Source organism: Homo sapiens, chromosome 11 (genome assembly GCF_000001405.40).
Source record: "Homo sapiens chromosome 11, GRCh38.p14 Primary Assembly".
Classification (NCBI taxonomy): Eukaryota; Metazoa; Chordata; class Mammalia; order Primates; family Hominidae; genus Homo; species Homo sapiens.
In genome coordinates this window covers 119,355,127-119,381,775 of record NC_000011.10, presented here as the reverse complement: position 1 = coordinate 119,381,775, position 26,649 = coordinate 119,355,127, and the positions used below count along the sequence as shown (strand labels likewise).

At 54.6% G+C, this 26,649-nt stretch overlaps 1 protein-coding gene across 6 annotated transcripts, besides 11 other annotated features; it reads left to right on the top strand.

Annotated features, from left to right (window-relative positions):
- Positions 19–1,008: an enhancer, noted in NCBI's record as "H3K4me1 hESC enhancer chr11:119251478-119252467 (GRCh37/hg19 assembly coordinates)". NCBI's record gives its function as "activates a minimal SCP1, AML or CMV promoter by ChIP-STARR-seq in naive H9 embryonic stem cells {active_cell/tissue: H9 hESC(naive)}" and the evidence as "EXISTENCE:reporter gene assay evidence [ECO:0000049][PMID:30033119]".
- USP2 (ubiquitin specific peptidase 2) lies at positions 86–26,561 on the top strand. 6 transcript variants are annotated; one of them, NM_004205.5, is made up of 13 exons: positions 86–303; positions 8,255–9,069; positions 21,542–21,592; positions 22,116–22,239; positions 22,434–22,545; positions 22,642–22,752; positions 22,939–23,003; positions 23,524–23,627; positions 23,715–23,795; positions 23,941–24,019; positions 24,186–24,293; positions 24,469–24,589; positions 24,854–26,561. In NM_004205.5, the coding sequence occupies exons 2-13, from the start codon at positions 8,296–8,298 to the stop codon at positions 24,939–24,941; spliced, it is 1,818 nt and encodes a 605-aa protein (NP_004196.4). In that variant the 5' UTR covers positions 86–303; positions 8,255–8,295; the 3' UTR covers positions 24,942–26,561. The 6 variants fall into 6 exon arrangements, with proteins under 6 accessions (NP_004196.4, NP_001230688.1, XP_005271778.1 ...); XM_005271721.6 differs by lacking the exon at positions 86–303 and adding an exon at positions 2,709–2,769; XM_005271722.3 differs by lacking the exon at positions 86–303 and adding an exon at positions 2,709–5,552.
- Positions 3,966–4,554: an enhancer, noted in NCBI's record as "H3K27ac-H3K4me1 hESC enhancer chr11:119247932-119248520 (GRCh37/hg19 assembly coordinates)". NCBI's record gives its function as "activates a minimal SCP1, AML or CMV promoter by ChIP-STARR-seq in primed H9 embryonic stem cells {active_cell/tissue: H9 hESC(primed)}" and the evidence as "EXISTENCE:reporter gene assay evidence [ECO:0000049][PMID:30033119]".
- Positions 4,871–5,449: an enhancer, noted in NCBI's record as "H3K27ac-H3K4me1 hESC enhancer chr11:119247037-119247615 (GRCh37/hg19 assembly coordinates)". NCBI's record gives its function as "activates a minimal SCP1, AML or CMV promoter by ChIP-STARR-seq in primed H9 embryonic stem cells {active_cell/tissue: H9 hESC(primed)}" and the evidence as "EXISTENCE:reporter gene assay evidence [ECO:0000049][PMID:30033119]".
- Positions 8,316–8,816: an enhancer, noted in NCBI's record as "H3K4me1 hESC enhancer chr11:119243670-119244170 (GRCh37/hg19 assembly coordinates)". NCBI's record gives its function as "activates a minimal SCP1, AML or CMV promoter by ChIP-STARR-seq in naive H9 embryonic stem cells {active_cell/tissue: H9 hESC(naive)}" and the evidence as "EXISTENCE:reporter gene assay evidence [ECO:0000049][PMID:30033119]".
- Positions 12,405–13,335: an enhancer, noted in NCBI's record as "H3K4me1 hESC enhancer chr11:119239151-119240081 (GRCh37/hg19 assembly coordinates)". NCBI's record gives its function as "activates a minimal SCP1, AML or CMV promoter by ChIP-STARR-seq in naive H9 embryonic stem cells {active_cell/tissue: H9 hESC(naive)}" and the evidence as "EXISTENCE:reporter gene assay evidence [ECO:0000049][PMID:30033119]".
- Positions 12,405–13,351: a biological region, named in NCBI's record as "HNF4 motif-containing MPRA enhancer 223".
- Positions 13,207–13,351: an enhancer, noted in NCBI's record as "145 bp enhancer 223 fragment used in the MPRA reporter construct; PK_construct_1737". NCBI's record gives its function as "activates an SV40 promoter by MPRA in HepG2 cells {active_cell/tissue: HepG2}" and the evidence as "EXISTENCE:reporter gene assay evidence [ECO:0000049][PMID:23512712]".
- Positions 13,272–13,285: a transcriptional cis regulatory region, noted in NCBI's record as "HNF4 motif; enhancer activity is reduced when this motif is scrambled". NCBI's record gives its function as "necessary for full MPRA enhancer 223 activity {active_cell/tissue: HepG2}" and the evidence as "EXISTENCE:site-directed mutagenesis evidence [ECO:0005528][PMID:23512712]".
- Positions 17,411–17,600: a silencer, noted in NCBI's record as "silent region_3980". NCBI's record gives its function as "represses an Ori minimal core promoter by ATAC-STARR-seq in GM12878 lymphoblastoid cells {active_cell/tissue: GM12878}" and the evidence as "EXISTENCE:reporter gene assay evidence [ECO:0000049][PMID:35858748]".
- Positions 22,079–22,128: an enhancer, noted in NCBI's record as "active region_5630". NCBI's record gives its function as "activates an Ori minimal core promoter by ATAC-STARR-seq in GM12878 lymphoblastoid cells {active_cell/tissue: GM12878}" and the evidence as "EXISTENCE:reporter gene assay evidence [ECO:0000049][PMID:35858748]".
- Positions 22,753–23,952: an enhancer, noted in NCBI's record as "BRD4-independent group 4 enhancer chr11:119228534-119229733 (GRCh37/hg19 assembly coordinates)". NCBI's record gives its function as "activates an origin of replication core promoter dependent on BRD2, P300/CBP, MED14 and CDK7 cofactors, and independent of BRD4, by STARR-seq in HCT116 cells {active_cell/tissue: HCT116}" and the evidence as "EXISTENCE:reporter gene assay evidence [ECO:0000049][PMID:35650434]".

Below are 26,649 nucleotides of genomic sequence, written 5' to 3'. Positions count from 1 at the left end.
GCTCTAATGACGCCACAGTAGGAACAAGCCAATAGCCGTGACGCGACTCAGTGACGCGAGACGCGGGGTGTGGCTCTGCCGGCCCAGGCGCGATGAGGCGGCTGCCCGCTGGGTGGCGCCGATTTCCCGGGGAGGTCCCTTCTGGGCCCCCGGCGGAGGTGGGAGAGAGTCAGGCAGGAGCCGAGGCCGGGGAGCCCTCTTCGTCAGCTGGTGCTCACTGCGCCGCGCCAGCGCCAGCCGGGACTCACCCGCAGCTCCATGCTTGTGCCCGGTTCGACTCGTCCATACTCCAAGAAGAGGCAGGTACGTGCCACCTGTCGGGGATCCGGGAGGGGGGATTCGGGGATCAGTGCCGGTTTGGAGCTCAGAAAGTAAGGTGTCCACGACATTCTGGGCAGAGTGGACACTAGAAATATAGGGAGAGAGCCGGCTGTGCAGGGACGCTCCAGCTGTGTCTGCCAGTTGTGTGAGGGCTGCCTGCTGACAGCCCAGGGTGCCAGGAAGAGCCAACTGTGTGCTGATCAGTGTATTCTAAGGAAATGCTGCTTTGGCGGGTCCTCCTCGCTGTGCCCCGTGTATATCGGTGGTATGTGGCCTGAGCGACACTGACAAACCCCCTCCCCACGTGTGCGTGCAGCTCACTCGCTGCTCTTAAAGCTCCCCGGTCAGTTTGCTAAAGGGGGTTAGGGGCGGGGGTTGGGCAACAATTAAGCGGAAGGGGAGATTTTCCACCAATCCCAAACCAGAAAGAGGCAGCTTTGAAATTCTCACCAGTCCCAAACCAGAAGCAGGCACGCGGTGCTCCGGAGAGAGCAACTTCTCAACAGTCAAGGGAAGCCCTAGCCAACCCATTCTAGCCCTTCCCTGAAGAGTGAACATCCTACCTCCTGACCTGGCTGCCTTTAGAATGGGACTGAGCTGGAGGTAGTGGTAGGGGCTGCTCACCTCCCCTGGAATGGGCATGAGAACATCCCCCAGATGGACCCCCGTAAAGCAGAGGAAAGGAGAGCTGATTGGGCTAAGGTCGAGGCAGGCCCCCTCCTTTGATGCTGTAGATGCATGTCAGACTGGAGTCAGAATGAGGACTGGAATGAGGGCGTCCTCTGAAGTGCATCATTAGGACCTGGGCTGAGTCAGTAGCCTGTGCTAAGACAGGGTGGAGGCACCAGGCTGGGTACTCCCAGTCCTCGGGGAGAGCCATCGAGAAACGTCCTGGGAGCAGACAAGTGCACCAAGGCCAGAGAGGCTAAGAACCCCGTTCCTTCCTCTTGTGACCCTGCCCAGCCCGGCTCTGTGGCCCTGGAATCCTGAGCCCTCCCACAGGTAGAGTGGAACCACCCCAGAGGGGCCAAGCATTCTCCTGGTGGCCTGGGGGAAGCTGCACTTGCCGTATTTTTCTAGGCAAAGGGGGAAGGAGCCCAGATGGGCTTGGCCTTTCTCTGCTTGGTGGACTGGACGTCTAGGAAGATGGCAAGCCTTGTTTGCCCTTCCCAGTTATGGGACATGGTCAGTTCAGAAAACCAAGGGACTGTTCTCTGGCATTAGAAAGGCACACTTCCGGCCGGGAGCAGTGGCTCAAAGTGCAGTAATCCCAGCACTTTGGGAGGCCAAGGCGGGCGGATCACAAGGTCAGGAAATCGAGACCATCCTGGCTAACACGGTGAAACCCCATCTCTACTAAAATTACAAAAAAATTAGCCGGGCGTGCTGGCGGGAGCCTGTAGTCCCAGCTACTCGGGAGGCTGAGGCAGGAGAATGGCGTGAACCCAGGATGCGGAGCTTGCAGTGAGCCAAGATCGCGCCACTGCACTGCAGCCTGGGCGACGGAGACTCCGTCTCAAAAAAAAAAAAAAAAAAAGAGAAAGGAACACTTCCCCAGGAGTAACCCTCCTTTTCTCCCTAGGAAGGTTCACCTGGTAAGGCGCTATTATTAATAATACCACTAATTATAATAAGAAGTGGAAGTATTCAATATAATCATCAATGTTTATTGAACTCTATGGGCCATGAAATTTACAAATATTATTTTATTTAATCCTCACAACTGAGATAGACCACTATTATTACTATTAGTCCCGTTTTGCAGATTAAATAGCTAAGGTTCAGAGAACTTAAGTGACTTATCCACTATTTCAGAGCCAATAAGGGAAAGAACTAGCCTCCAATCCCAGGCCTAGAAGTCCATTAGAAAAGAATATTGGACTGAAACCTGAGTACTAGTCCCCTTTCTGCTTCTCGCTATCTGCACATGCCCTTGAGCAAGCTGCTTTCTTTCTCTAGGTCTACTCTATCTCAAAATTAAGAGTGGGGCTAACTGTATGGCTTCTTCCTGTTCTCTAATTCTGTGACTGACTGCTCTGGAAAATCCACTTTCTCCATATTTTTGTCTCAAGTTCCACCCCCACCCCTCTGTGCTCTTTTCAATGCTCTTTCCTCTTGAATCTCCCGATTGTTCCCCTTCAAAATGCCCCCCTTCCAAGAGTCCTCACAGACCTCCTTGGCTGGCACTGGCCCGAAAGGGCAGCCCCTCAAGGTGAGCACGCCACTGCCCCTTTAATTCTCCTGGGGCTTGGAATGCAAGTGAGTTGCACTCGCCATCTCTGCGAGTCTGCGAGGTCAGATAAGATACTATATATATCGGAGTCAGTAACCTGAGCTCCGGATTACCCAGCCCAGAGTCAGGCTCCAGCTTCTGGGCTTTCCACTGCATTCCCTGCCCTGCTGGGGAAGGAGAAGCCCCCAGCTCCCATCCAGTGCCCCTGGACACAGGTCAGTAGCTGCCCCTTTGGTATCTGAGCTTCTCTGGGACTCTACCTAGAGGAAAGACATCAGTGAATCTGGGAGAGCATGTGAGAGGCCACCCCATTGGGCCCGGTGGGTGTCAGGGGCAAGACCAAAGGCTCCTCCGGAGGCTGAGAACAGAGGAAAGATGACGCCCTAGAGGAGAAGGAAGGAGACCGGGGCTCTCCCCTTGGGAGGGGGCACCAGGAGAGTACCTGGGCAGAGGTGCTTGGAAAAGAGAATTTAAGGATCCCAATACTACCTGGAGGCCCATTTCTTTGCCTTGTCTTGGAAGTGTATAGATGCCCACCCACTCACAACCCCAAATCAAGGAGCACCCTATAGAAACTGCCCTGGGCCCATCCACTTCTTCTCCACCAGTCAGGATTCTTGCCTTAATCTCCAGTCTCTTTATCTTACCTCCTCCCCTCCCCCAGCTCTTGGGTAACTACTGGGAGCACAAGAAAGAGAAATGGACCCAAATTCCCTTGGATGACCCCCTGCCAGGGGAGGCAAGAGGATTAGGCTGGTGGATCAGCGGGTGCTAGCCCCTGATAGACAAAGCCTAGTGACAGGCTGGAGGGGAGGAGGCCAGCCCAGGCCCTGGGGCCTGAGAGGAGTAGGCGGAGTTCAAGGACTGTTTGAGCATAAATATGCCCCCGCCCCCCCATCCCCTACTCTACCCATGTCCTCTACACCTGCCAGGATTCCCTCATCCCATCCTCCAGGACCAGACACTTGTGCCCAGATAGTGCAGCAGGTGACCCAAGCAGCTGGGAGGCAGGGTCAGAGTGCAGATGGAAGGATACAGGGCCCCCTCTCACCCACCTTGTCCTTCAAGGTCAGCACATTCTGATGCTGTTAGCAAGTGGCTTTAGGAAGCTCTGAGGTCACCACTGTGGGGGCTCCCAACCACCTGGCGGGACTGGCTGGGACTCCCCACTCACCTTTTCCGGGCACCTGAGTAGGAGGGAAGAGACTTAACCCTGTTTAGGCGTGCTTCTGAAACTCAGCTAGAGGCTCTCTATCCAGGCCCCAGTAGCAAAGCAGGCTTTCACCCCAGAAAGCCAAGCAGATCTGGGCAGAGAGAAGCCATGAAGGTTACTGGGATGTGGGGCATCACCCATCCCCTGCCCCCAGGGCCAGGAGCGCCTGGAATTCCTGGGGAGCAAGTCCCTCCCCTGGCTGGGCAGGTTAGGGAGCCCTTCATGTGAGCAACAGGAAATGACAGTGGCTGAAGCAAAGGGGTTGGCTGCCCCACGGGGACAGGGTTCATTTTAACCCCTGACTCACCCAGCATGGGTACCTTGAGGAGTGGGCCAAGCTGCAGCCAGGGTAGGAGGCTAGGGACTTGCTCATAACCAGGCCAGGGACCCAAGGCCCCGAGCTGGGGTAGATGCTGGTGCCAGGGGACATGCAGGGGCTTGGCACAGTGGGTGAAATGGAGGCTTCCTGGACCATCTCTCGGCCTATCAGTATTGTTCTGGGGCTCGAGTTGCACCTGGCTTCACTTTCATTCACCTGCAGTGGAAAATCCAGAGGGCTGCTCCTGCCAGAGTCTGTACACCGCATGCTGTTACTGGATGACGGACACCTGGATCCTGTGGTGGTCCTTCCCTCAAACCCCACCCACAGGTCCCAGTCCTGACCCGTCCCATGGAGAGCCAGGGAAGAGTGAAGCAGGGGTCTGGGCTTCAGGCCAGATATAGCAGACAGAGCACGAGTCCAGCCCAGCTCTGCCACTGCTCCCAGTGTGACTTTGGGAAATCCACATCACTCCCAGCATCGCCAACTTCCTCATCTGCAAATGGACGTGATAACAGCACCTACCGCTTAAAGGAGCAGGGAGGATTCAGTGAGTTAATGCACTGTGTCCCAAGCCTTAGTGCAGTTTTAAGCTTTAATAACTTCAGAAATATGAATGCTAAAAACTTCATTTGAAAGTTTCCATATTTAAATTTCTTGTATATTTATTTTTTAATTGTGAAAATGTTTTTAAATTTTAATTTAAATAATTTAATCTGTCCAAAGAGGTGTGTAAGTTGGAGACATTTATGTCTGAAAGAATCCCAGCTTAAACCTGCACTAAGACTTTTTGGGGTGCTCTGTGTATGAAGCACATCTAGAAGAATGCGTCACATGGCAAGGGCCGATGAGAGCTGATGTGAGACTGCAGAGAAGATGGACTCAGAAGCTGCATGTGAAGTACTCAACATGCCTGGGGCCTGGTTCAGAGGTGATCAGCACCAGCCAGCTGGGGTGACAGCTGCTTGGCTCAGATGCCCTGACAGGAAGCCCAGTGCCTCTGTGCAGAGGAACTCTGCTGCACCTCCCAGGAGAGGGAAACTGAGCAAAGCAACAGGAATCTCTGACAGAGAAGGAAGGGTCAGGACACCTCAGTGAAGATGGCCAGGAGGAGGAGCTGGGCAGGGGACTGCCCCCATTGTCCAAGGTGGCGGACACCTGGAGAGGCGCTGCCTGGAGCTGCATGCCTGTACTTGCCAGCTCTGGGTAAACAGTGAAAGGAGCTGGGCAGCAGGGGCCCCCCGCACTGGGCAGGGAGGGGTATGGGGGATCCCAGCCAATTGGCTTGCCTCCCACTGCCCCATGAAAGGGCCATTCAGTTCAGGCTGTTCCTGTGGCAACAGGGAGACTCGCAGCCACGTGAGTGCCCGTCCTGTCCCTGTCTTGCGCAGCGAGACTCCGGCCAGGGCCCCAGCCCGCTCTCCTGCCCATAGTGCATTCTGTGGCCTCCAGGGACAGCTGTGCAGGTAATGCCAAGGGGCACCAACCCAGGCTGTGCTTTCACCTGGAAGGTGCTAGGACCTTTGAGAGTGAAACTGGGGGTTGCGGGAGGGGAGAGACATGTGGAAGGCCCCGGCCCCAGTAGGAACCCTCTCCGCAGGCATGGGAACTGTAGCTAGAAGTCAGAGCCGAGAGGCAGCTTCCATGGAGTATTAGTGATGGCATGACTCCCAGGGCTGCTAGGAGGAGGCGGAGGGGTCTGGCAATCACCTGCCAGATGGGAGGGAGAGTGGGGATTTGGGAGCCCTCCTGGGAATCTGTGGGCCAGAGATGTGGCCCCACCTCCGGCTCCAAAGCCTTTCAGAGCTGTCTGTCCCTGTCCTCTGGACCTCGTTTGGCCCCAGCACTTCTGCGTCATCAGCAGGGTCAAGGGATGTCACGGGCTTGGGGCGCTGCCCGAAGAATACCAATTCCCTGAGAGCCTTACTGTGGGGGAGGGAGAGGGAGAGCTGTGGGGAGGAGCCATGAGCTCATACCCTTGTTGGGGGGATTGTATCTGATTGGCTGCCTGGTGTCCCAGAGCCCAGCTCCTGAGACCTGGAGTCTCTTTGACTTTGCATTATTGATGGAGTTCTCCAAAGCAAAATAGGGCAGGACTGGGCCCCCACCCCGACCCTGTGCCTCTGTCTGTCTCTCCCGCTATGGTTTCCCTCTAACGCTGTGTGACATCATCCCCCAGTTACCTTTTCCTAGAAAGGGGTGAAAGTTGTGCTGGGCACAGTGGGCAAAGGAGTGTACATGAAGGGCCAGGGGCCCCCTGGGCCAGGTGGCAAAAGGCTAGACAGTAAGATGGACCAGGCCTTTCTGATGTCAGCCTGGACTGAAAACTGCTGGAGTTCTCAGGCAGGGTCAAGGAATGCTGTTCCGGGCCTATATGGAAGCCACCTGCTCATCTCTCACCCCTGTACCTACCCCAAAGCCTTGTGTGGACTGGGATTCTAGAGCTTTCTGCCAAGCCCTCGCATTTGGGGTTTGGCACCAGCTCCTCTCTGCCCTAATGGGCTGGGTTGCCAAGCCAGTGTCTGCTGAGTGGCCAGATGTCTGCCCACTGCCTGTTTCTCTCGCTGGGGGCTGCAGGGGGAGGCCTGGCATCCCAAGCTGAGGCCAGAGGCTGGCCAGGCTGGGAGACAGCCAGCCCTGATATTATCACAGACCTTCAGAGGGCGGAGCCATGCTGCCTCGCAGTAGCTGGGGGAGGAGATGGTAGCCACTGTCATTGTGGAGCCCTTCACGTGTTGTTATCTCATTTATTCCTCACAACAGCCCTGTGAGGTAGGAATTATGAGGATGATGGTTTTACTCATTTACAGATGAGGAAGTTGGGGCTCAGAGAGGTTACGTGACTAGTGCAAAATCACCCAGCTAGTCCATCACAGGGCAAGTCCCACAACTCTGAGAGTCCTGGATGGCTCTGCTCCATCCCCCTAGAAAGCCCCCCAAGAGCCCCTGATGCCCTCGGGGAAAGGCGTCTGACCCTACTTGCTCCTCTGCCACTCCAGCTCCATTGGATACAGGCTGCACGTTTACGGTGATGGAAGGCCTCTGGGGGTCCCCAACTGACCCTAAATCTGATGCGGGGGAGGTAACTCCAGGTTAAGTAGAAAGAACACTGGCCAGGATTTTAAAGACCTGGATTCCAGTCCTGGCTCTGCTGGTGTGTGGCCGGGGGCAAATAAGCATCACTTTTCCCATCTGTATAACAGATAGATTAAAATTCATGATCCTCTGGGGCTCTCAAAGCTCCACATTCAGCAGTGTCTGTGTTCCTTCACTAGACCCTCCCCAGCTGCAGGACTGGAGCAGGGAAGGACTGGGAATGCCACCTGCAGTGCAAGATTTGGGACTGTAGGGGGCCCCCTTTGCACAAGCATCGCCAGGACCAATTTGAGATCTGTGTTTGTAGAGGAAGCCTGTGTTGGTAGAGGAACTCTTAGGAGGCCACAGGGCCCTAACTCCACTTAGAACAGAAGCTTAGCTCAGTGAAGTGAGTGTCCCTCACTGTGGGACCATGCAGCAGGTGCTGGTGTCTGGGGAAAGGGTCTGGAGACCACGTTCTGGCCCCTCATTGTTGCATGCTCACTCACGGCCTCCCCTGCCCACCCACACCCCATTACTTCCTCCCCTGAGCCTCCTTGGCCTCACAGGGGATCTGACCAAATGATCTTCAGGTCATTCCAGCACAGACAGTCTAGGATTCCAAAAAGACACCTGCTCATCACATAAGTCAGAAGGGACAGATGTGGTCTTAACTCCTGAAATATCCAGCATTCTCAACCCAGGGGTCAGTGGCATTCCCCCAGCTCAAGAGTTTCTGCAGATGCTGAGGCAATGGGATTTGACCTGGAAGACTGCACGGCTTGGTGGGCTGTGGAGGTCAGATAGCCCCTGCTTGCGTGTTTGAGTCTTTGAATGGCCAGGATGCGCTGACTTCCTGTGTGGCATATAAAAGCCACCTCATCCCTCGCACTCTCACCGAGGTGTGAACACACAGGTGCAAGCAAGCTCCTGTGCACACCTGCGTGCATGTGTGCTTCTCAGCAGCCAGCCTGCCTCTTGTGGAAATGGACTGGGAGCTCTGAGGTTCTGGCCCAGCTGAGGATGGGGAGCAGGTCTGTGGGAGCCCGACACCTGGCAGGGCCCTCTGACAACTACACTCCTTGTCTTTCAGCCCATGAGGCTCCCAGTCCCCACTGAGTGCCACCCTGAAGGATGTCCCAGCTCTCCTCCACCCTGAAGCGCTACACAGAATCGGCCCGCTACACAGATGCCCACTATGCCAAGTCGGGCTATGGTGCCTACACCCCGTCCTCCTATGGGGCCAATCTGGCTGCCTCCTTACTGGAGAAGGAGAAACTTGGTTTCAAGCCGGTCCCCACCAGCAGCTTCCTCACCCGTCCCCGTACCTATGGCCCCTCCTCCCTCCTGGACTATGACCGGGGCCGCCCCCTGCTGAGACCCGACATCACTGGGGGTGGTAAGCGGGCAGAGAGCCAGACCCGGGGTACTGAGCGGCCTTTAGGCAGTGGCCTCAGCGGGGGCAGCGGATTCCCTTATGGAGTGACCAACAACTGCCTCAGCTACCTGCCCATCAATGCCTATGACCAGGGGGTGACCCTAACCCAGAAGCTGGACAGCCAATCAGACCTGGCCCGGGATTTCTCCAGCCTCCGGACCTCAGATAGCTACCGGATAGACCCCAGGAACCTGGGCCGCAGCCCCATGCTGGCCCGGACGCGCAAGGAGCTCTGCACCCTGCAGGGGCTCTACCAGACAGCCAGCTGCCCTGAATACCTGGTCGACTACCTGGAGAACTATGGTCGCAAGGGCAGTGCATCTCAGGTGCCCTCCCAGGCCCCTCCCTCACGAGTCCCTGAAATCATCAGCCCAACCTACCGACCCATTGGCCGCTACACGCTGTGGGAGACGGGAAAGGGTCAGGCCCCTGGGCCCAGCCGCTCCAGCTCCCCGGGAAGAGACGGCATGGTGAGTTTACCCTTGGGGACCGGGGATAGGCTGGGGAGGCAGCCACTGATGGAGAACAGCCAGGCTGAGGGCTCGACTCCCAACCTGACTGATGACTGACAGGCTGCTCCTGGTGGAGACAAACAAGAGAAGTCATCCTGGCACATCTGGTGCCCCTGGGGCTCCGTGCCGAGGGGAGGGGCCTTCCCACTCTGCCTAGAAAGCCCACTCAGGGCCCGCGCACTCGAGGATAGTCCAGTAGTGTTCTCAGGAATGCTCTGCTGCGCCCAATGAACCACTCTTCTCACCTTCTCCTTTTCTATGTGACATGCCAGTGTCTCCTGCAGGCCTTGCCCCAACCTGGGCTGGATGCGGGGGGGCCCAGACCACCAGTGCACCCTGTGGCAGGAGGGCCTCCTTGCTGTGGTTGCATCTCCCCTCTTGTGCAGGCTTTATTCCCTAGCCCCAAGGCCTGGCTTTACATTTGGACATAAGACATCAGGGGAAGAGGGACTCTCCTCTGAGTGACACTGGCATACTCAGGACCAGGGTATCAGACAGCAATGCTTATCATCTGGCTTTGGAGAAAGTAGGGGAGAAATTTTTATCTAGGGCTTGAGACAATCCAATACCTCTATTCCAGCCCTGCCTCAGCTGGAATGAGGGAAGAGGCTCTGCTGGAGACTGACCAAGGGCTGGCATGGGCTCGCTCGCCAACTAATGCCCGCACACGCCTCTCTTGGGGCACTGACGACATCTGCCTTTTCTGTAGTTATTAGTGTGCCCATTAGGTGGCAAGCTCTCAGAGGAGGAAAAAGAAATCCTATCTCTAGATCCCCTGCCACGTGCCTCCCACAATGGGGGCTGACCTGCTGATTGCAGGGATGAATGGATGGATGGATGTGTGGGTGGTGGGTGGGTGGATACACGGGTAGATGGCGGGTGGACAGATGGACAGGCAAGCATATGGGCAGAAGGGCTGGATGCTGTGTCTCCTCCATTACCTTATGTACCCCTCCCTACTCCTAGGACAAATACATTTTGAAAACAACAGCATGCCACAGCAAGAAATACTGCTTGGAGGGCTGATCCAGACAAATGCAGCAGGGGTTCAGGAATAGGGGCAGGACCTTGAAGCTTGCATAACTAAAGGTCTTGAGAGAGCAACTTTGATAATATGACTTAGGGAGTCTTGGCTTTGTTGTGCCATCTGTGAAGTGGCACAGGAGATAGAAACGCTGGTGCCTCCCAGAACATTCAGAACTTGACAAGGCAGGGCTGGATCCACTGTAGAAAGGAGTGGAGAAGAGAGATGTGTCACAACAGAGCTGGCATGGTGGGGAAGTATCAGCTCTCAGGGTGCTGCGTGCTGGGCTTGGAGTGGAGCAGGACTCACTTGGACTCGGCTGGTGCTGTTCAACCCCAGGGCAATTAGAATATGGCTCTCCTCGGAGGGGCTCGGGTCCTAGAAGCCTCTGCGGGGCTCCCTCCCCTTGCTCAGAAGAGAAGGGTTGTTTCATGGTCAGCAGTGCTCCTTAAAGTGGGGTCTGCAGACTGCCTGTGTCAGAGTCACTGCAGGGCTTAACGATTCATCCAAACCCACTGAAGCAAACTCTCTCGGGATGGGGCCTGGGAAGCTGCTCTTTCCACAAGCTCTTTGGGTGATCTCTAGGCATGCTGAGATGGAAAACCTCAGCGCAGACTAAACTACAGACCCACCCTCAGCCCCAATCATGACAGCAGTATTCCCCTTTACTGGGGATCAGATTCCACTGGGAATCTGCCTCCTCCCCACACAGGCATGGCCCAACCCTCCTGGGAGTCTGCCGCCCTCCAACTCTCCAGAAGGGACAACCCTGGCTCCTCCCCCCGGCTCCAGGGCCAAGGTGAAGGGAATTTTGAGAGAGGACCTCAAAGAAGTGGCAGATTGCCCTGGGACAAACTCAGCCACCCTCATCCAGAAGCAACTCATAAGGCACTTTAGCCGGGAATGCCCTGCAGTTGAGCTAGTGTTTCATTCTGAGCTCATGCCCCAGAAGATACTGCCAACCAGCAGAGGCCTCTCCAGGGTCAATAGTACAAGACCTTTATTTAACCTCACCCTGATCTCTCCACCCCTTATCGTCATTTCCTGGAGCAGAGTGCGTCTTGCTGAGGTGAGAACAACCCTGCTCGTGCGGCCTGGACCACTTCTTTCTAAAACTGGGTCCAGTTTCTTTCTAGATCTCCATCTGGGGATCTTGCCTTCTGAGGCACTCATTTGTGGTGCTCAGCTTACTAGCAGCGTGACCTCAGATAGGTCCCTTAGCTTCTGAACTTGTGTCCTCCTCTGTAAGATGAGTGATCATAGTTCCCACTTCACAGATTACTTGAGGAATGAAAAGATAATGTATGTGAAAGTGCCTGGCATGTTGCTTAGTAAATGTTAGTCCTCGTTGTTGTACCCTTCTGGTGCTTTGGCAGGCAAGAGATGTGTGCGAGCAACAGTCCCTGCCTTCAGTGCCTTCACAATTCACTTAGGGAAATAAGTTTGTTTTGTTTTGTTTTTTTGGAGATGGAGTCTCGCTCTGTCTCACTCAGGTTGGAGTGCAGTGGTGCGATCTCGGCTCACTACAACCTCCACCTCCCAGGTTCAAGTGATTCTCCTGTGTCAGCCTCCCAAGTAGCTAGGACTACAGGCGTGTACCACCACACCAGGCTAATTTTGTATTTTTAGTAGAGACGGGGTTTCACCATGTTGGCCAGGCTGGTCTTGAACTGACCTCAGGTGATCCACCCGCCTCGGCCTCCCAAAGCGCTGAGATTACAGGTGTGAGCCACCACGCCTGGCCAAGAAGAAGTTCTTAAATAGGTACAATGGGAGGCAGCCCTGGGTGTTCTTGAGTGTCACAGGTGGACGGAAAGGGAGAGGTCATCTGAGGCTGGGACGGGCTGCTCGTGACCAGTGGAAGGAACAGTTGGCCTCTCTAACCTTGGACACCTATCAGCTGGGCTGTATTTCCTAGACTATAAAAGGGAACAATCACGCCCGCCCTGCCCACCTCTCAAGCATGCCATGAGGCTCAAAGCAAATAATGAAGGTGGAGGAATGTGAAATCAATAAAATGCTGCAGAAGAGGTCATTTAAACTTAAGGGGGGAAAAGAGATCATAGAAAGGGGGCGTTTGGCAGCTGACTAGAGTAGGAAGCCCCCTCCCCACCAACCCCGTGGGAGAAACAGAGGTAAAAAAAAGTACATCCTGTGTCCCAGGGGATTCTCAGGATAGCTGACTGGAGCTACAGCTGGCATTCATTAAGGGAGGTCAACAGCAGGCTGTGACCAGGGAGAACAGTTCTAGCCAGACTTCTTTCCCTCATTAACAGTAATAGGCAACACGAACTTTGAATATCACAGACTCAGCTGAGCATGAGCACAGAGCTGGCGGGGGGCAGGGGCGGGTGGCAGGGGGCGCCACATAAATTCAGAATTATCCCCTCCCCATGCTTGTGTAAGCACCAACAAAATGCCAGGCCAGGGGGGCGCAGCTCAGCACTTGTATAATGAGGGCCTCCCCTGAGACTTCACCTTCTGCTTAAAATGCAGAGAGGAGGAACAGTGATGGTGGAAAAAAAGTGTTCACTAACCCAAGTGGGGACTCCAAGCCAGCTCAGGTGGCTCAGCCCTGCAGAGACCCAGGAGCCCCAGTCCCAACCCTGTCATCTCCCTACTCTGCCCCACTTCTCCTGTTCCCGGGGTCTATGGAAGGACGAGCTGTTCCCATTGAGCCCTGCCAGGGCTGCGCTTTAACCCCTACAATCCTTCCTAATCCCCCTCAGCTCCACCCCTCCAGCTGCTCCTCCCTAGCCCTGGCATTCTGCCCGCTGGCCTCTGCCCAGCCCTTGCCCCACCCTGCCCAGGCCACCCTCTCCTCTCCCCAAGAAGATCCAGGGGTTGGCCCAGGGCCCTCCAGAGCACAGTCAGCAAGCTGGGCACCTGCAACTCGGAGGCAGAGCCAGGGCTGAGGCTCAGAGTCTGGCCCAGCCTATTCTCACCCACCCAGTCTCTTCCACACCCTTGCCCTCCGCTCTAGGACCTGTTTCTAGGAGCAAAAGGTCTGGGAAACTGAATACCTGGGTCCTATTTGCCACTGGGGCTGCTGACTCATCTTCCGAAGCCTTGGGTTCCAGCTGTTCAGTGACAGGGAGATTATATAAGCTGAGGTCATGTGATTTTTCCCTGGGGTGGGACTTTGGACTTGAATGCTGCCCTGCAGTGAGCGGAGGTTACTCCAAAGAGAACAAATTGCGGATAGCAGGGGCTGTCCTGGAGCTCCTAGGTGAGAAGTACAACTCGCCTCTCGTCCCTCATGTTCTCGCTCCGTTCACGCAGCCACACTGGCCTGTATCCCTGCTGCCTTGTTTGTCTAGCTTGGCAGCCTGAGATCCTGGGGTCTGTCCTTACCTACTCCCACCCCGGGATCACTAAGCCACCCTAAGGAGGTTGAACTTCCTGAGGTCATGAATCTGTGTTGGCAGCATGAGAAGGTCACTAAAGGACCTTAAGCCAGAGGGGCCCCTTGGCCAGGAGCTGTACTAGCTGCTGCGAAGGAAAGGGCAGTGGGTTTGCGGTTTGTGACTAGAATCAGCAAGACACTGATGTCTCCATCCCTTGCAGACCGGCTGTGGGCTGTATCCTGGCCGTTAGCCTTGGTACTGCCTTATCCAGGCTCAATTTCTCAATCGGTGCCCAGCACCATCCTCCCGCCTCCTCCTCCACCCCCACTCCAGGATGTCTTCATGAGTTAATGTGGTGCTGGGGTGGGGCTCAGCAATGCAGAAGTTAATCCAAGCCTGGCAAAATGTTCCTTGCCCCTGGGGGAGCCGCTCCACTGACCACCAGCTGCAGAAATGAACATCATGTTCAGAGCCCAAAGCTGCACACGTGGCCCCTTGTACTCTCTCACCTCAATACGTACATAAAACTAGCGCCCCAGACGGAGACACATGCAAAAGAAGGAGGTGTGTGGGCCTCTGGAATCCAGCTGGTTCAGGCCAGACTGCCTGGGCTCAAAGGTGCACAGAGCTTTTGGCCTCTTGGGGTCCACGTCATGCAGGGAAGCAGACCTTCCTACAGAGAGTGGGGAGGATGGGCTGACCCTCTCTCCCCAAGGTGCACTGTGGGGCAAAAGCCCAACCCCTAACAAGGACTCAGAGCCCCTACCTTTTCATCCATCAATCAATCAGGCCACCGGTCTGTCCATTTGCGGTGGTAATCGCAGGCACATGCTGGGAGCCAGGCTTTAAGACATCTGCCTTAGCCCCAGCAGTGTCACCAAACCCTGGCCTAAGCTGCCCACGCAGATCTGAGAGAAGCAGAATACTCTCAGTCCCCGCCCTCATAGAGCTAGCCCTAACTTTCATTTATATCACTCCATCTCATGCCAGGAAGGATTTAAGGTGACAAAAATTACTTATCCTATAGGGAAGCAGGCCAAGCCCAGGTTCTGAGGAACGGCAGTCAGGATGCAGGAATGAGCCCAGCTCAGTTTAGCTTTGTGTATTTGAAGCACAGAGAGTCACTGAGCCAGAGCCAGATTCAGATGCCAGAAGCCTCTATCCTTTGTATCCATCCCACTCCGAGAATGGCAGTGAAGAGAAAGGGTCTCACAGAGACCTGGCTGGCCGAGAGATGAGCCAAGGTCCTTTGTGGCCGTGTCCTGCAGCAGTCGGACCTGCTTGACTAGACTGGACTCTGTGTGAATTCTTTCCCCCAACCCCAGACTTCTCAAAGTGCTCCCACGCTAAAGCTTTCTGCATCTGGCCCTCCCTGCTCCTGGCAACCCCTCTAACCTCCTAAATCCCAGGGAAGAGGGAGAGCAAGCTGGCAGAACACCCAGATGTCCTGGGTGGGAGTGCTTACATCACTGTGTCTAAGTCATGGGGAAACAGGCCAAATGCTATAGTGGGTGAGCACCTCTTGGGCAGGTCCCCCCAAGCCCAGCAGCACATGTGTTCAACATGCAAAAGCAGACTCACACCCCACCCTCTGAGGCTTAGTGTGACTCCCAGGATTCCTAGCAGAGCCTGGTCTGGCCCTCTTTAGAGACAAGATCAACACCATTTATTAAGAACCCACCAAGAGAACCCACAACCCTGCCCTTGAGGAGGTTTCAGTGTGCTGGCAAAACCAAGACAAGCCACACACAAGACCATTTATAGGACTCTTTGAAACACTTATAAAGCAAAGATAAACATATTAAGATAGATTAACACCATGCAAACTGAATGCGCATAGACTGACGATATGCAGTAATGGAGAGTTTAGAGATGGGTGGAGTTAATTAGGGAAGGCTTTTGGAAGATGCAAATTTTAGGCAGAATTTACAAGTAGGTAATTGGCAGAGAGCAGGAAGTACATCCCAGAATTTCCTGTTAAAAGCATGGGTTTTGCTGTAAGACAAAGCCCCACATTGTCATTTATTAACTTTGCAGTCCTGGAAAGTCATTTGACCTCTCTAGGCTTAAGGTCCTTCACCTATAAAACAGAGGTAATAGGCCGGGCGTGGTGGCTCACGCCTGTAATCCCAGCACTTTGGGAGGCTGAGGTGGGCGGATCACTTGAGGTCAGGAGTTCATGACCAGCTCGGCCAACATGGTGAAACCCCGTCTCTACTAAAAATACAAAAATTAGCCAGGCGTGGTGGTGCGCACCTGTAATCCCAGCTACTCAGGAAGCTGAGGCAGGAGAATTGTTTGAACCCGGGAGGCAGAGGTTGCAGTGAGCCGAGATCGTGCCACTGCACTCCAGCCTGGGCGACAGAGCAAGCCTCCGTCTCAAAAAAAAAAAAAACAAAACAAATAAAATAGAGGTAATAGTTACTACAGCATGATGTTATAGAAATTAACTGGGATAATATATATAAAACCCTTAACCCAGTGCCTGGGATCTAATAAGTACTTAATGAGTGGCAGTTTTGGTTTTTCAGCAGAGGATAAGCACAGGCTGGTTGACAGCAGTGGTCAAAGACTGAGGGTGGTGGGCCTGTGGACAAACAGCCTTAGAGAAAGGCTACCTGAGGCTTCGGGGCTGGATGCAAGGGCAGGTGCTCTAGTTGTTTCAGGACAGAAGAGTGATGAGATCAGATGCAAACATTGCTTCAGATGGTGTAGGGCTGGCTTGAAAGCGTTTGGCTGGAAAGGAGGCTTGGAGAAAGGCTGCTGCAGTTTGTCCGGGGTCCAGATTCAGTCAGAGTCTGGGTGAGGACAGTGACTGTAGAGATCACCACTCCTCACATGCCCACTCTCACTGATCACAAGCAGACTGCCTGTGGTTCCTGTCCCCTGCCCCCTCCTCCCACCACACTGCTGGCACACAGGGGAGGGGGCAACTGTCCCCATCCCTCTCTCATTAGCATGAAATTGCTGCTTTGTCGGTGGCCTGGGGTACTGCCATACGTGTGTCCTGGACACAGTCCCCATGTAGCTGTGGTCATGTGTGCGTGTACATGTGGGGATGAGCACACCAGAAGGAACAGAAGGAGCCCACAGATGAGTAACAGCATACACTGCTGCCTCTTGGAGTATTTTTAAATGCTAAAAATACTGGCTAAAAATAGCCAGCAAGCTCCAAACAAGATACTTTCTCTAGGCAGATTCGTGAGCTTCCCTGTTAGGTGGAGGGGTGGGGCATCAGAAACGAAATCTAAAGACCCCTGATCTTCCAGCATGGCTGTGCTTGACGCCAGAGTAGAACACTCGCCCCATGCCAGCTGAGCGCCTATTTCCCCACTATTGTATTGCTTTCTCCCCAGCTCCCCAAAACAAGTCAAATTTGAGAATGGGAGAGCCGGAGCTGGGTAATTGGTTAGAAGAGACCAGAAAAGGTTCTTTTCAGGAGCCAAATGAGAAGGTGACCTATTGGACCTTATAAAACATGAGCACTGCCTCTCTTGAAAGAAGCCAAACAGGACTGTTTTGAGGAGGGCAGCTCAGCCCCTAGGCCGTGAAGGTCCATCTTCTTAACCTGGGCACATTGACCTCCACAGACTGCATGAGTTTGGGTCTTCACGAAGGCCTGAGTACCCCCGGAACTCTAGACAAAAGTTTGTGCATATACGTATTTCGCCCTGAAGAGAGAAGAGCTTTCATCACGTTCTCAAAATGGTTTGCAGCCCCCTCAAGAGTTAGGAAGTGTAATGGTGCCTTGGGGGAAGCTCACCCGGTTGCCACTGGGTCTTGGGGAGACGTCCTCTGCGGGCCCCAAAGATCACTTATCCCGAGCTGAGCCTCAACCCCGAGGCCGGCCAGGGCCTCAGGGCTCCGGTCCTGCCTCCCCCGCGGGCCTGCCTGGCCGGGGGTCAGCGGGCTGGGGGCGCCGGGGAGCGCGGGGAAGGCCCGGCGGGGGAGGACCGACCTTGTCGCCTCGTTCGGGTCCGCGTGCCGGCGCCGGGGGCGGGGTAGAGGCGAGGTGGGGCGGGGCTTAGGGCCTGGCCCCGCCCCAGCGCTGACGTCGCGGGGCCCGAGGCGCCGGCGGGGCCGCCAGTCGGCCGGAGCGCGAGAGCCGGGACCCGGGCTGTTGGCGGCGCACGCCGGGGAGGTTGAGGCGGAGGAGCGCGCGTTCGGGCGCCGCGGACGCTGTCCTGTAGCGGTCTCGCCGGCCTCGGCGTCCGGACTGTGGCACCGCGCGGGGACTCCCCCCGCGCCCCCGCTGCCAACGTTAAGCGAGGGCCAAAGCCCGCCGCCCGCCCCCCAGCATGCGCACCTCGTACACCGTGACCCTGCCCGAGGACCCCCCCGCCGCCCCCTTTCCCGCCCTCGCCAAGGAGCTGCGGCCGCGCTCCCCTCTCTCCCCGTCCCTGCTGCTCTCCACCTTCGTGGGGCTCCTGCTCAACAAAGCCAAGGTACGCGGGCCCTTTTCCGGGACCCCCGCGCCGAGGGCCTGGGGTCCCGCCTTCTCCCTGGCCTCTGCCCGCCACGCGCCCCTAGGTGAGGGGACGGATTCTTCCCAGCCCCCACCCCTCCTTTCCCAGGGTCTCCTGGCAAGGAATGCCCCCTCCTCAGGTGATCGCACGCTTACTCGTGGTCCCCTCCCCGGGTGGAGGTCCGAGGAAGTCCCCCTTGCCCCCTCCCTCTCGGTGGCCCCGGCACCAGGTGGTGGCTCTTGGCCTCTCAATTCCTGGCACCTATCAGGACAGGTGCAGGAAAGCATAACCTTGACTGGGTCTCGATCGGTGTGCGAGGGCAGCACGCTGGACCGTGCCGGGGTACTCCTCCGAGGCCAAACCCCGGCGAGGAAGGCTGGGCAGAAAGGGGCCGCCTCCCCTTCACTGTCCACCAAGGGCTCTTTCCCAAGGGTTGGTGACGGGGGTCCTTTGACCCTGTGAAGGGCAGACGAGGTGCAGACAGGTGACAGAGGGCAACTTCCCCTTCTTTCCGTCCTCTCCATTTATGCAGCGGGCAGCGGGTCCCTCCGCGGAAGCAGCCCCCAGGGGAATGCCGGGGCCGAGGCTGGGCGCTGCCCGCCTGGGGAAGGGAGAAGGGGCCCGAGCTTTGACAGGTCTTATGTAACAGGCACCAGCTCCCGTGCTGGCAGTGCGTGCCCTGCCCCGTGCCAGGGCCACACCAGGCTTCCTAGCTGCAGCCAGGACTTGGGGCGACCCTCACCACACAGGTGAGGTAGGCGGGAAAGCCCTTGATTGGGGTCTCAAGTGTGAAGACACAAACCTCGGCCTCTCCTACCGAAGGGTGCCCAGATGCTACCTCTGCATTAACCCAGGCAGGGCTCTCCTGAGCCCCCGCTCCTCTCCTCTAGAAGGTGAAAGCTGTCTATTTGCTGATGGTGAAGGTGCCATCTGCTCCCTGCAACAGTGCTTGATACTGAGTCAAAACTAGGTTTGCTGATGGCTGAATGGAAGGAAGACTGGGTCCAAACTTTCTCAACTCTTTGCACATGTGTCCCAGCATAACACTTGGGGTCATTTCCTTCTCTGGCTTTCACCGAAAGAGGTTGGCTGTGCAGGGTCTCCCACCTTCTGCAGTTCTGGCCCCTTTCTCCCTGTCGACCCTGAGGTAGGATTGTTTGTCCTGTAAGAAAGGTCACTCTGGGGACATTTTGTTCCCCTCTGTAATGAAAAGTGCTGACTTTCCCTGGAGCTCCTGATTTCCTATTCTTGGCAGAAGAATATCTGGCTGGGCATGGAGCAGCCCTGCTCCCCCTCCTCTGTCGCCCCCACTCCTGTTATCCACCCGCCTTCTACACAGAGCACCTAGAAACTGGCATGTGGTTTTGAGCTGAGGAAATTTTAGACAAAGGCATCAACCCCCACCCTAAAACATAACAACCAAGGGTCCTAAGGATGCCTTAAAGGAGCTTCTCCCATCTCCCCACCCCCCAGGCCAATAGAGGGGTTAGATCCTCAAGAATAGTAATCGTGGGTGACGAAGTGTCCTTCTTGCCCCTCACTGCTGGGTCAGAATTAAGTGTCAACATCTTAAAACACCACAGGAGTGCTTCTGTAGACAGATGACTCCGTTTTCCCATTTCCCTACCCCCATTAGCACTGAGTGACTGTTGTCTCAGCTGAGGGCCTGCTTTGGTGAACATTGACACGGTCACCAGTGGTAGAATGCTTTCCCCTACAGCCTGTTTAGACAGATGTCATCTGAGGCACAGGGGCTAAGAACTAATAAAGCACTGCCAAAAATAGACGTAAGGGTGGGTATTCTGTTGTGGGCAAGCTTTAACATTTAGTTCCGAGTGCGCAACATGGAGACTTTTGCAGCGTTTCACCAATTCTGGAAAATGCTGAGAAGGTCTTTGTCCCAGGGAATTATCTCTGTTGCGGCCCTCTTGCTGACTGTCAGTAAGTCAGATTCAGATGTTGTGTGGGGCCATATACTGCCAGCCCTAGCCAAGTTCTCTAAGGATGCTTATATCCCACCTGCTGCCAATTGGCCTTTCTCTCTAGCTGCAGGTTTAAACTGGGTCTCTTTTCTGGGTATATTTTTCTTCCCTACCTGTTAGTGCTAGCCCTGACAGCTGGCCAAGAAGGGATCCTCTTACTTGTGGGATCGGTAAGGCAGTTCTTGAGAAAAGCCCTCCTTCAGCCTGCTCCTCCCCCACCCACACCCCTCCCCCCCAGCTGACAACCTCATGGGCTTTGAGCTGCTGACAGCCTCATAGGCTGTCAGCACACGGCATGAGTAATTTTAGCTGAGTTATTTCAGGCTCCTGTTCTGATCAGGGCTGAGCTGGCCCCACGCATGCCCCAGTGTTGCTCCAGAGTTGCCTGCTCCCAGTCCCCTCCCTGAGAGAGGGGGTGGCAGACTCATCTGCAAACTGTTTATTTAACCCTTTGAGCCTGAAGGTTTTCTGACTCCTTGGAGATATGCCCAGGATTAGCCAAGAGACCTTGACAAATAAGCTCAGAGTCCTCGATCCAGCACCTGTTCTCTCTCCAACCCCCTCACCCGCCTCCGCTATAGGGCCAACAGCAAGAGTGGCAATTTCAGCCAGGCCCTTGCCTCTGCGGGCCCAATCTGCCATCTCCAGGATTCCCAGACAGTGGCCAGTCAGGATGTTGAAACCTGAGCCAGGCAGGGAGGATTCTCCGAGTCTTTAATCAGCCCTTAGGAGCTGAGCTCAGCTGGAAGGAATTCCACCTGTCTCTGGCAATTCAGAATGGCAGGCTTACTTGAGTTTTTCCCAACTGAAGATCGAAACTCAAGGTGTTTTGTTGTTTAACTTTTCAAAACCTCCTCAAAGTGTCTCTTATGAGAGTTACTTTATATATTGGACTTCTAGGAGTACAAATATAGGTCATTTGAGATAGCACCTGGATTTGGGACTCAAAATTTCTTATAGTAAGGAGTCAATATGTACCAAATATATGAATTCCTAGTCTCCACTGTAGCAGAGAATAGAGAATAACATAAAGATGGGGGGCAGGGAGATACATAGTCAATACACACTCAATAAAGCCCTGAAGAATATTTTTGTTGGTTGTTGAAAATAACAGGCATTTAGGCAGGACGCGGTGGCTCACGCCTGTAATCCCAGCACTTTGGGAAGCTGAGGCAGGTGGATCACCTGAGGTCAGGAGTTCAAGACCAGCCTGGCCAACATGACGAAACCCTGTCTCTACTAAAAATACAAAAAATTAGCCGGGCATCGTGGCACACACCTGTAGTCCCAGCTACTCAGGAGGCTGAGGCAGGAAAATCGCTTGAACCCACGAGGTGGAGGTTGCAGTGAGCTAAGATCGTACCACTGCACTCCAGCCTGGGTGACAGCGTGAGATTCCGTCTCAAAAAAAAAAAAAAGAAAAGAAAAGAAAATCACAGGCATTCCTCAATCCTCTTTCCTACAAAGTACATAGATGGGTAAAGTTGAAGAAAGAATATTATGTGTGGCCTGCTGCCTGTGGCTCCAGCTGGTTAGAAATTGCACGAGAGAGCCCAGCACAGGCCTAGCATCTTTGCTTCCACCTTATTGCCATATGTTCTTTGCTTACAGAATTCTAAGAGTGCCCAGGGTCTGGCTGGTCTTCGAAACCTTGGGAACACGGTGAGTTTTTCCTGGCCTGCTTCTTCCCCAGGCCCACCCCCTACTATGCTGACTGGAGCCATATAACCAGAGTCCCCTTCTGGTTGTGGCTGACTCCCTACCCGTTCAGCCAGTTGGCACTTGCCCTTCCTGGCTGGTGTTTCACAGAATTGCTGGGCTGTGCTTTACCCACCCCCAGCAGGAAGCACTGCTAAAAGGAAGTTGCCCTTTTACCCATCAGCCTGCTCCTCTCCTGGATCATTCCCCTAAAGGATGCCCATCACTTCCCACACACTTCTGTCCATCACATCACGCCCTTTTGTGCACCTCTATAGTAAATAACCAATTAGGTCACCTATGCCTGGAGTGGGGGTTTGCCTCACTTCACCCCTTTCACTTATGAAAAGAGGAACTTGAGGCTATGAAAGGATAGCCTCCTATGAAAGGATTCTAGGTAGATGAACCAGAGAGCCTCTGGTAGTAAGTAACACAGGTGAAGGTGGGACTCTCGTCTCCCCACTGATTGCCTGGTCATCTCTTGCAGTGCTTCATGAACTCAATTCTGCAGTGCCTGAGCAACACTCGGGAGTTGAGAGATTACTGCCTCCAGAGGCTCTACATGCGGGACCTGCACCACGGCAGCAATGCACACACAGCCCTCGTGGAAGGTGAGAGGCCCTCTGTCATGTGCCCCTGCCTACCCCCGGATGCTCCTCCACTCCACTGGGGCTGTTCTAGGTGTTGTGTCTTAGACACTCCTATCCTGTCTGTCTTTCTCTGCTTGCTTTTTGTTGGGATTCTAGTTTCAGAGTTTCTTATAGAAAATATCTCAGCTGTCCTGTACACTCTCTCCTTCCAATAGAGTTTGCAAAACTAATTCAGACCATATGGACTTCATCCCCCAATGATGTGGTGAGCCCATCTGAGTTCAAGACCCAGATCCAGAGATACGCACCGCGCTTTGTTGGCTATAAGTAAGGGCCTTGCAGACATGTCCTCTCAGGTGGGTGGCAGTAGGAGCAGGTTCTTAGGACAAGAGGTGTTGCTCACCCTCCTTCCTTTGGGTTCAGTCAGCAGGATGCTCAGGAGTTCCTTCGCTTTCTTCTGGATGGGCTCCATAACGAGGTGAACCGAGTGACACTGAGACCTAAGTCCAACCCTGAGAACCTCGATCATCTTCCGTAAGTAAGAGGAGAATGCTGTGGGAAAGCAAAACTTTTGTGAACTCGAGATTTTTACCCACCACTTTGGGGTTAATGATTTGGGAATAATCTGATTTACTTTTGAAGATGAAGGATCAAAATTGACAGACCCTTAAACTTAAGTTTTGAGCTTTGACCCAATTGTTGTCTCTCTCTGGTTCCCAGTGATGACGAGAAAGGCCGACAGATGTGGAGAAAATATCTAGAACGGGAAGACAGTAGGATCGGGGGTAAGCGCATGAAAGGGAAGATGCCTGTTTTCACTGTTGCCTGCTCTTGCCTGAGTGGAGCATGAAAAGCCCTAAGAATCACTCTCCCGGGGAAGCCTGTTTCTGCCTAGTGTTCAACAAAGCAAAGCAGGAACAGCAAGAAAGAAGATGCTGTGCAGGCCGGGCATGGTGGCTCATGCCTGTAAACCCAACACTTTGGGAGGCCAAGGCGGGTAGATCACCTGAGGTCAGGAGTTCAAGACCAGCCTGGCCAACATGGCAAAACCCCATCTCTACTAAAAATGCAAAAATTAGCCAGGCATGGTGGTGGGCACCTGTAATCCCAGCTACTTGGGAGGCTGAGGCAGGAGAATCACTGAACCCAGGAGGCAGAGGTTGTTGTGAGCTGAGATTGCACCACTGCACTTCAGCCTGGGGGACAGAGCAAAACTCCATCTCAAAAAAAAAAATAAAAGCTGCTGTGCAGAAGACCATGCTCTACTTCCTGTATTTCAGCATCTCATGGCCTTCTCTTCCCCAGATCTCTTTGTTGGGCAGCTAAAGAGCTCGCTGACGTGTACAGATTGTGGTTACTGTTCTACGGTCTTCGACCCCTTCTGGGACCTCTCACTGCCCATTGCTAAGGTATGCACCCCAGTTGCCCGCCTTGTTGAACTCCCTCTCCTGTCCTTTCATGTTGACCTCTGACCTTTGCTTTTTTCCCCTTCCCAGCGAGGTTATCCTGAGGTGACATTAATGGACTGCATGAGGCTCTTCACCAAAGAGGATGTGCTTGATGGAGATGAAAAGCCAGTAAGTCACCCTTCGGTAATAGCAAGAACAAATTTCCGTGGGACCTACTGGGAAGAGGCTGATACCAGCAGATCCAGTTGAGGAGTGACTGGATTGGGGCCCACTGACTTCCCCACAAGTTCTTTCTGTTTGTCTTGTCTCTCAGACATGCTGTCGCTGCCGAGGCAGAAAACGGTGTATAAAGAAGTTCTCCATCCAGAGGTTCCCAAAGATCTTGGTGCTCCGTATCCTTAAGATCCATCAGGGCTGGGACATGACTTTCAAGGGTGACTGATGACAAGGGGCCCATAGGTGAGGGGAACAGTCGGAAGAAACGGACCTTGTAGGCTTTCCTTTTGTTGTCTGCCCTTCTGCATTGGTTTGACTATCCTTGACTCACGTCAATGCCAGATCTGAAGCGGTTCTCAGAATCCAGGATCCGAACCAGCAAGCTCACAACATTTGTGAACTTCCCCCTAAGAGACCTGGACTTAAGAGAATTTGCCTCAGAAAACACCAGTGAGTATCTTTGAGTAGGCAGGGCAGAATGAAGACGCAGGTGTGCAAGGCCGGAGGGAGGGCAGGAGGAAGGGGAGCTGCCAGCACCAGCTACTGAGAGACCCAGAAGGAGAGGTTGGAGGGGGGAAGTCGGGGCAGGGGGGCCTCGGGGGCTTGACGGCTGCCTCCTCCTCAGACCATGCTGTTTACAACCTGTACGCTGTGTCCAATCACTCCGGAACCACCATGGGTGGCCACTATACAGCCTACTGTCGCAGTCCAGGGACAGGAGAATGGCACACTTTCAACGACTCCAGGTGAGAGCCAGGGCAGGGCCGGAGCCCCTGGCTGTAGCCACCCACTCTCCCCCCACTCCTCCACCCTCCCCCCAAACCCACCCCCCTCCCACCCCCCGCACGGCTTACACCGAGAATGGATGGCAAAGTTTAAGGCCACGAAGCCGCTGCCCGTGGGGAGGCTCCCTGAAAGGCAGGCCGGCCGGCCTCGGGGGCACAGAAAGAAGCCGGCGGGGGGTCTCCCGGTCCTGCCCGCTCCGGGCTGACTCCCCGCTCTCTCCGCAGCGTCACTCCCATGTCCTCCAGCCAAGTGCGCACCAGCGACGCCTACCTGCTCTTCTACGAACTGGCCAGCCCGCCCTCCCGAATGTAGCGCCAGGAGCCACGTCCCTTCTCCCTTCCCCGTGGTGGCCCCGCTCCCTAAATTTTTTAAAAAGACAAAAACAAAACAACAACAACAACACACAAACCTGACAAGAGAAAAACAAACCTGAAGCTGCCGAGCAGGAGTGGATGCAGCCTGATCAGGGTCTGGAGCAAGGAGCCGGGCTTTCCTGAGCTGTGGCCCGGCAGGGAAGATCGCCTGGACGTGGAGCCAGCATCGCCCCGTGCCCTCGGCGTTTGCATTTGTAAACTTGTGGTCTTCCTATGTGTCAGAAACAACTGTGTCTTGGGGGGGAAGACCCTCGCTGCGCCGCTTCCCGCCGCAGCGCCCGCGCCTCCGAGGGGACAGCGCCCTCTGGAGCTCGCTGGGAGCATCACCGCCTGGACGCCCGCGCCGCGGAGGAGCCGGCGCCCATCTCCACCCGCACGGCTCGCCGGTCCAGAGCCATGAGCCAAGAGCCCTCTTCACGCTGCTAACTCCAGGGGACAGACGAAGGGACATCTTTGGAAAACGCTGGTTTTGGTTTTTAAAAAGCCCAACTTTTTTTTTTTAATTTCCATAACTAAAGTGTTCAGACTGGAGTGCTCTCCTTCAGGCCTCTTCATAGCTGGGACGTTGCACTGGTCCTTTTATTGCTTTTCCAAGTACAACTTTCTAATGCTAGCCCTCCGTGGTGCTAGGTGGGCGTTGGCCAGGCCCCAAGCACAGCCACAGTAGACCTGGGATCTAAAACAAGTTTCTGTTTTGGGGGTTTGGGTTTTTTTTTTTTTTTTTTAATGTTTTGAATGGAATTTAGTTGCCTCCAAGAATTGTGCCTTATAGCATTTGGGGACCAGGGGGTAACTGCCCCTCCTGAAATATCCCTCAGCCTCTTCCCTTTTCCCCAGTGCTCTGTTCAAACCCGCCTGGGAAAGGGATCCTGCCCTTAGCCCTGGCTCGTTGTGCATTGCAGTGAGGCAAAGAAGAAAGCAGGTAGATTCCTTCCGACAGGGCATCAAGTTCTTCCCGCCCACGTCCTCTAGCCCACCCCTGGTCTGCTCCCCAGCTGTTTGAAGGATAGCACAAGCCCCTCGTCCCTAGAGCTTCTCTCCCTTTTATTTATTCTCTTAACATCCCTTTCCCCCTGGCCTTCCTGCCCCCGCCCCCTTCTCAGAGCCTCCTAGACAATAGGCCCTTTGGACCGAGTTTCTCAGGGATGCCCAGGCCACCCCTCAGCTCTTCTTAGCGCTGGTCTCCAGTCCTGCCCTGGGAGCTGGAGCCTGGGTATTTGGGGACATCTTGCCTCAGTTGTATGGTTCTTTCCTGTGGGCTCAATTTTGCCCTACATAGTTGGATAAAACTCTGTGCTGTCCTGGAGAGTAAAGCTGTTCACCCACACAGCTGGGCCCGGCTTGTGCCCCGTGGAGCCTGGCACATTCCAGGCTCCTAGGAGGAGGCATCAGAGAAAGACACCCTGAGTTTTACTGGCCTGACACCCTTCTCCAGAGAAGACCTGTGAACCTGAGCCCAAGGGCAAGTGTACACTTGTTTACTGTGTAAGCAAGAGTAGAAGAATGTCTAATGTACAGTGGAACCTTGTACAGAATAAATAATAGCTTTGAGAAATCAGTTGGCAGATGTTGGAATCTTGATTTGGGAGTGTTTGAATCTAGGAAGGGCTCCTAGTATATTAGGGGCCATCTATTTCATTGTTTCA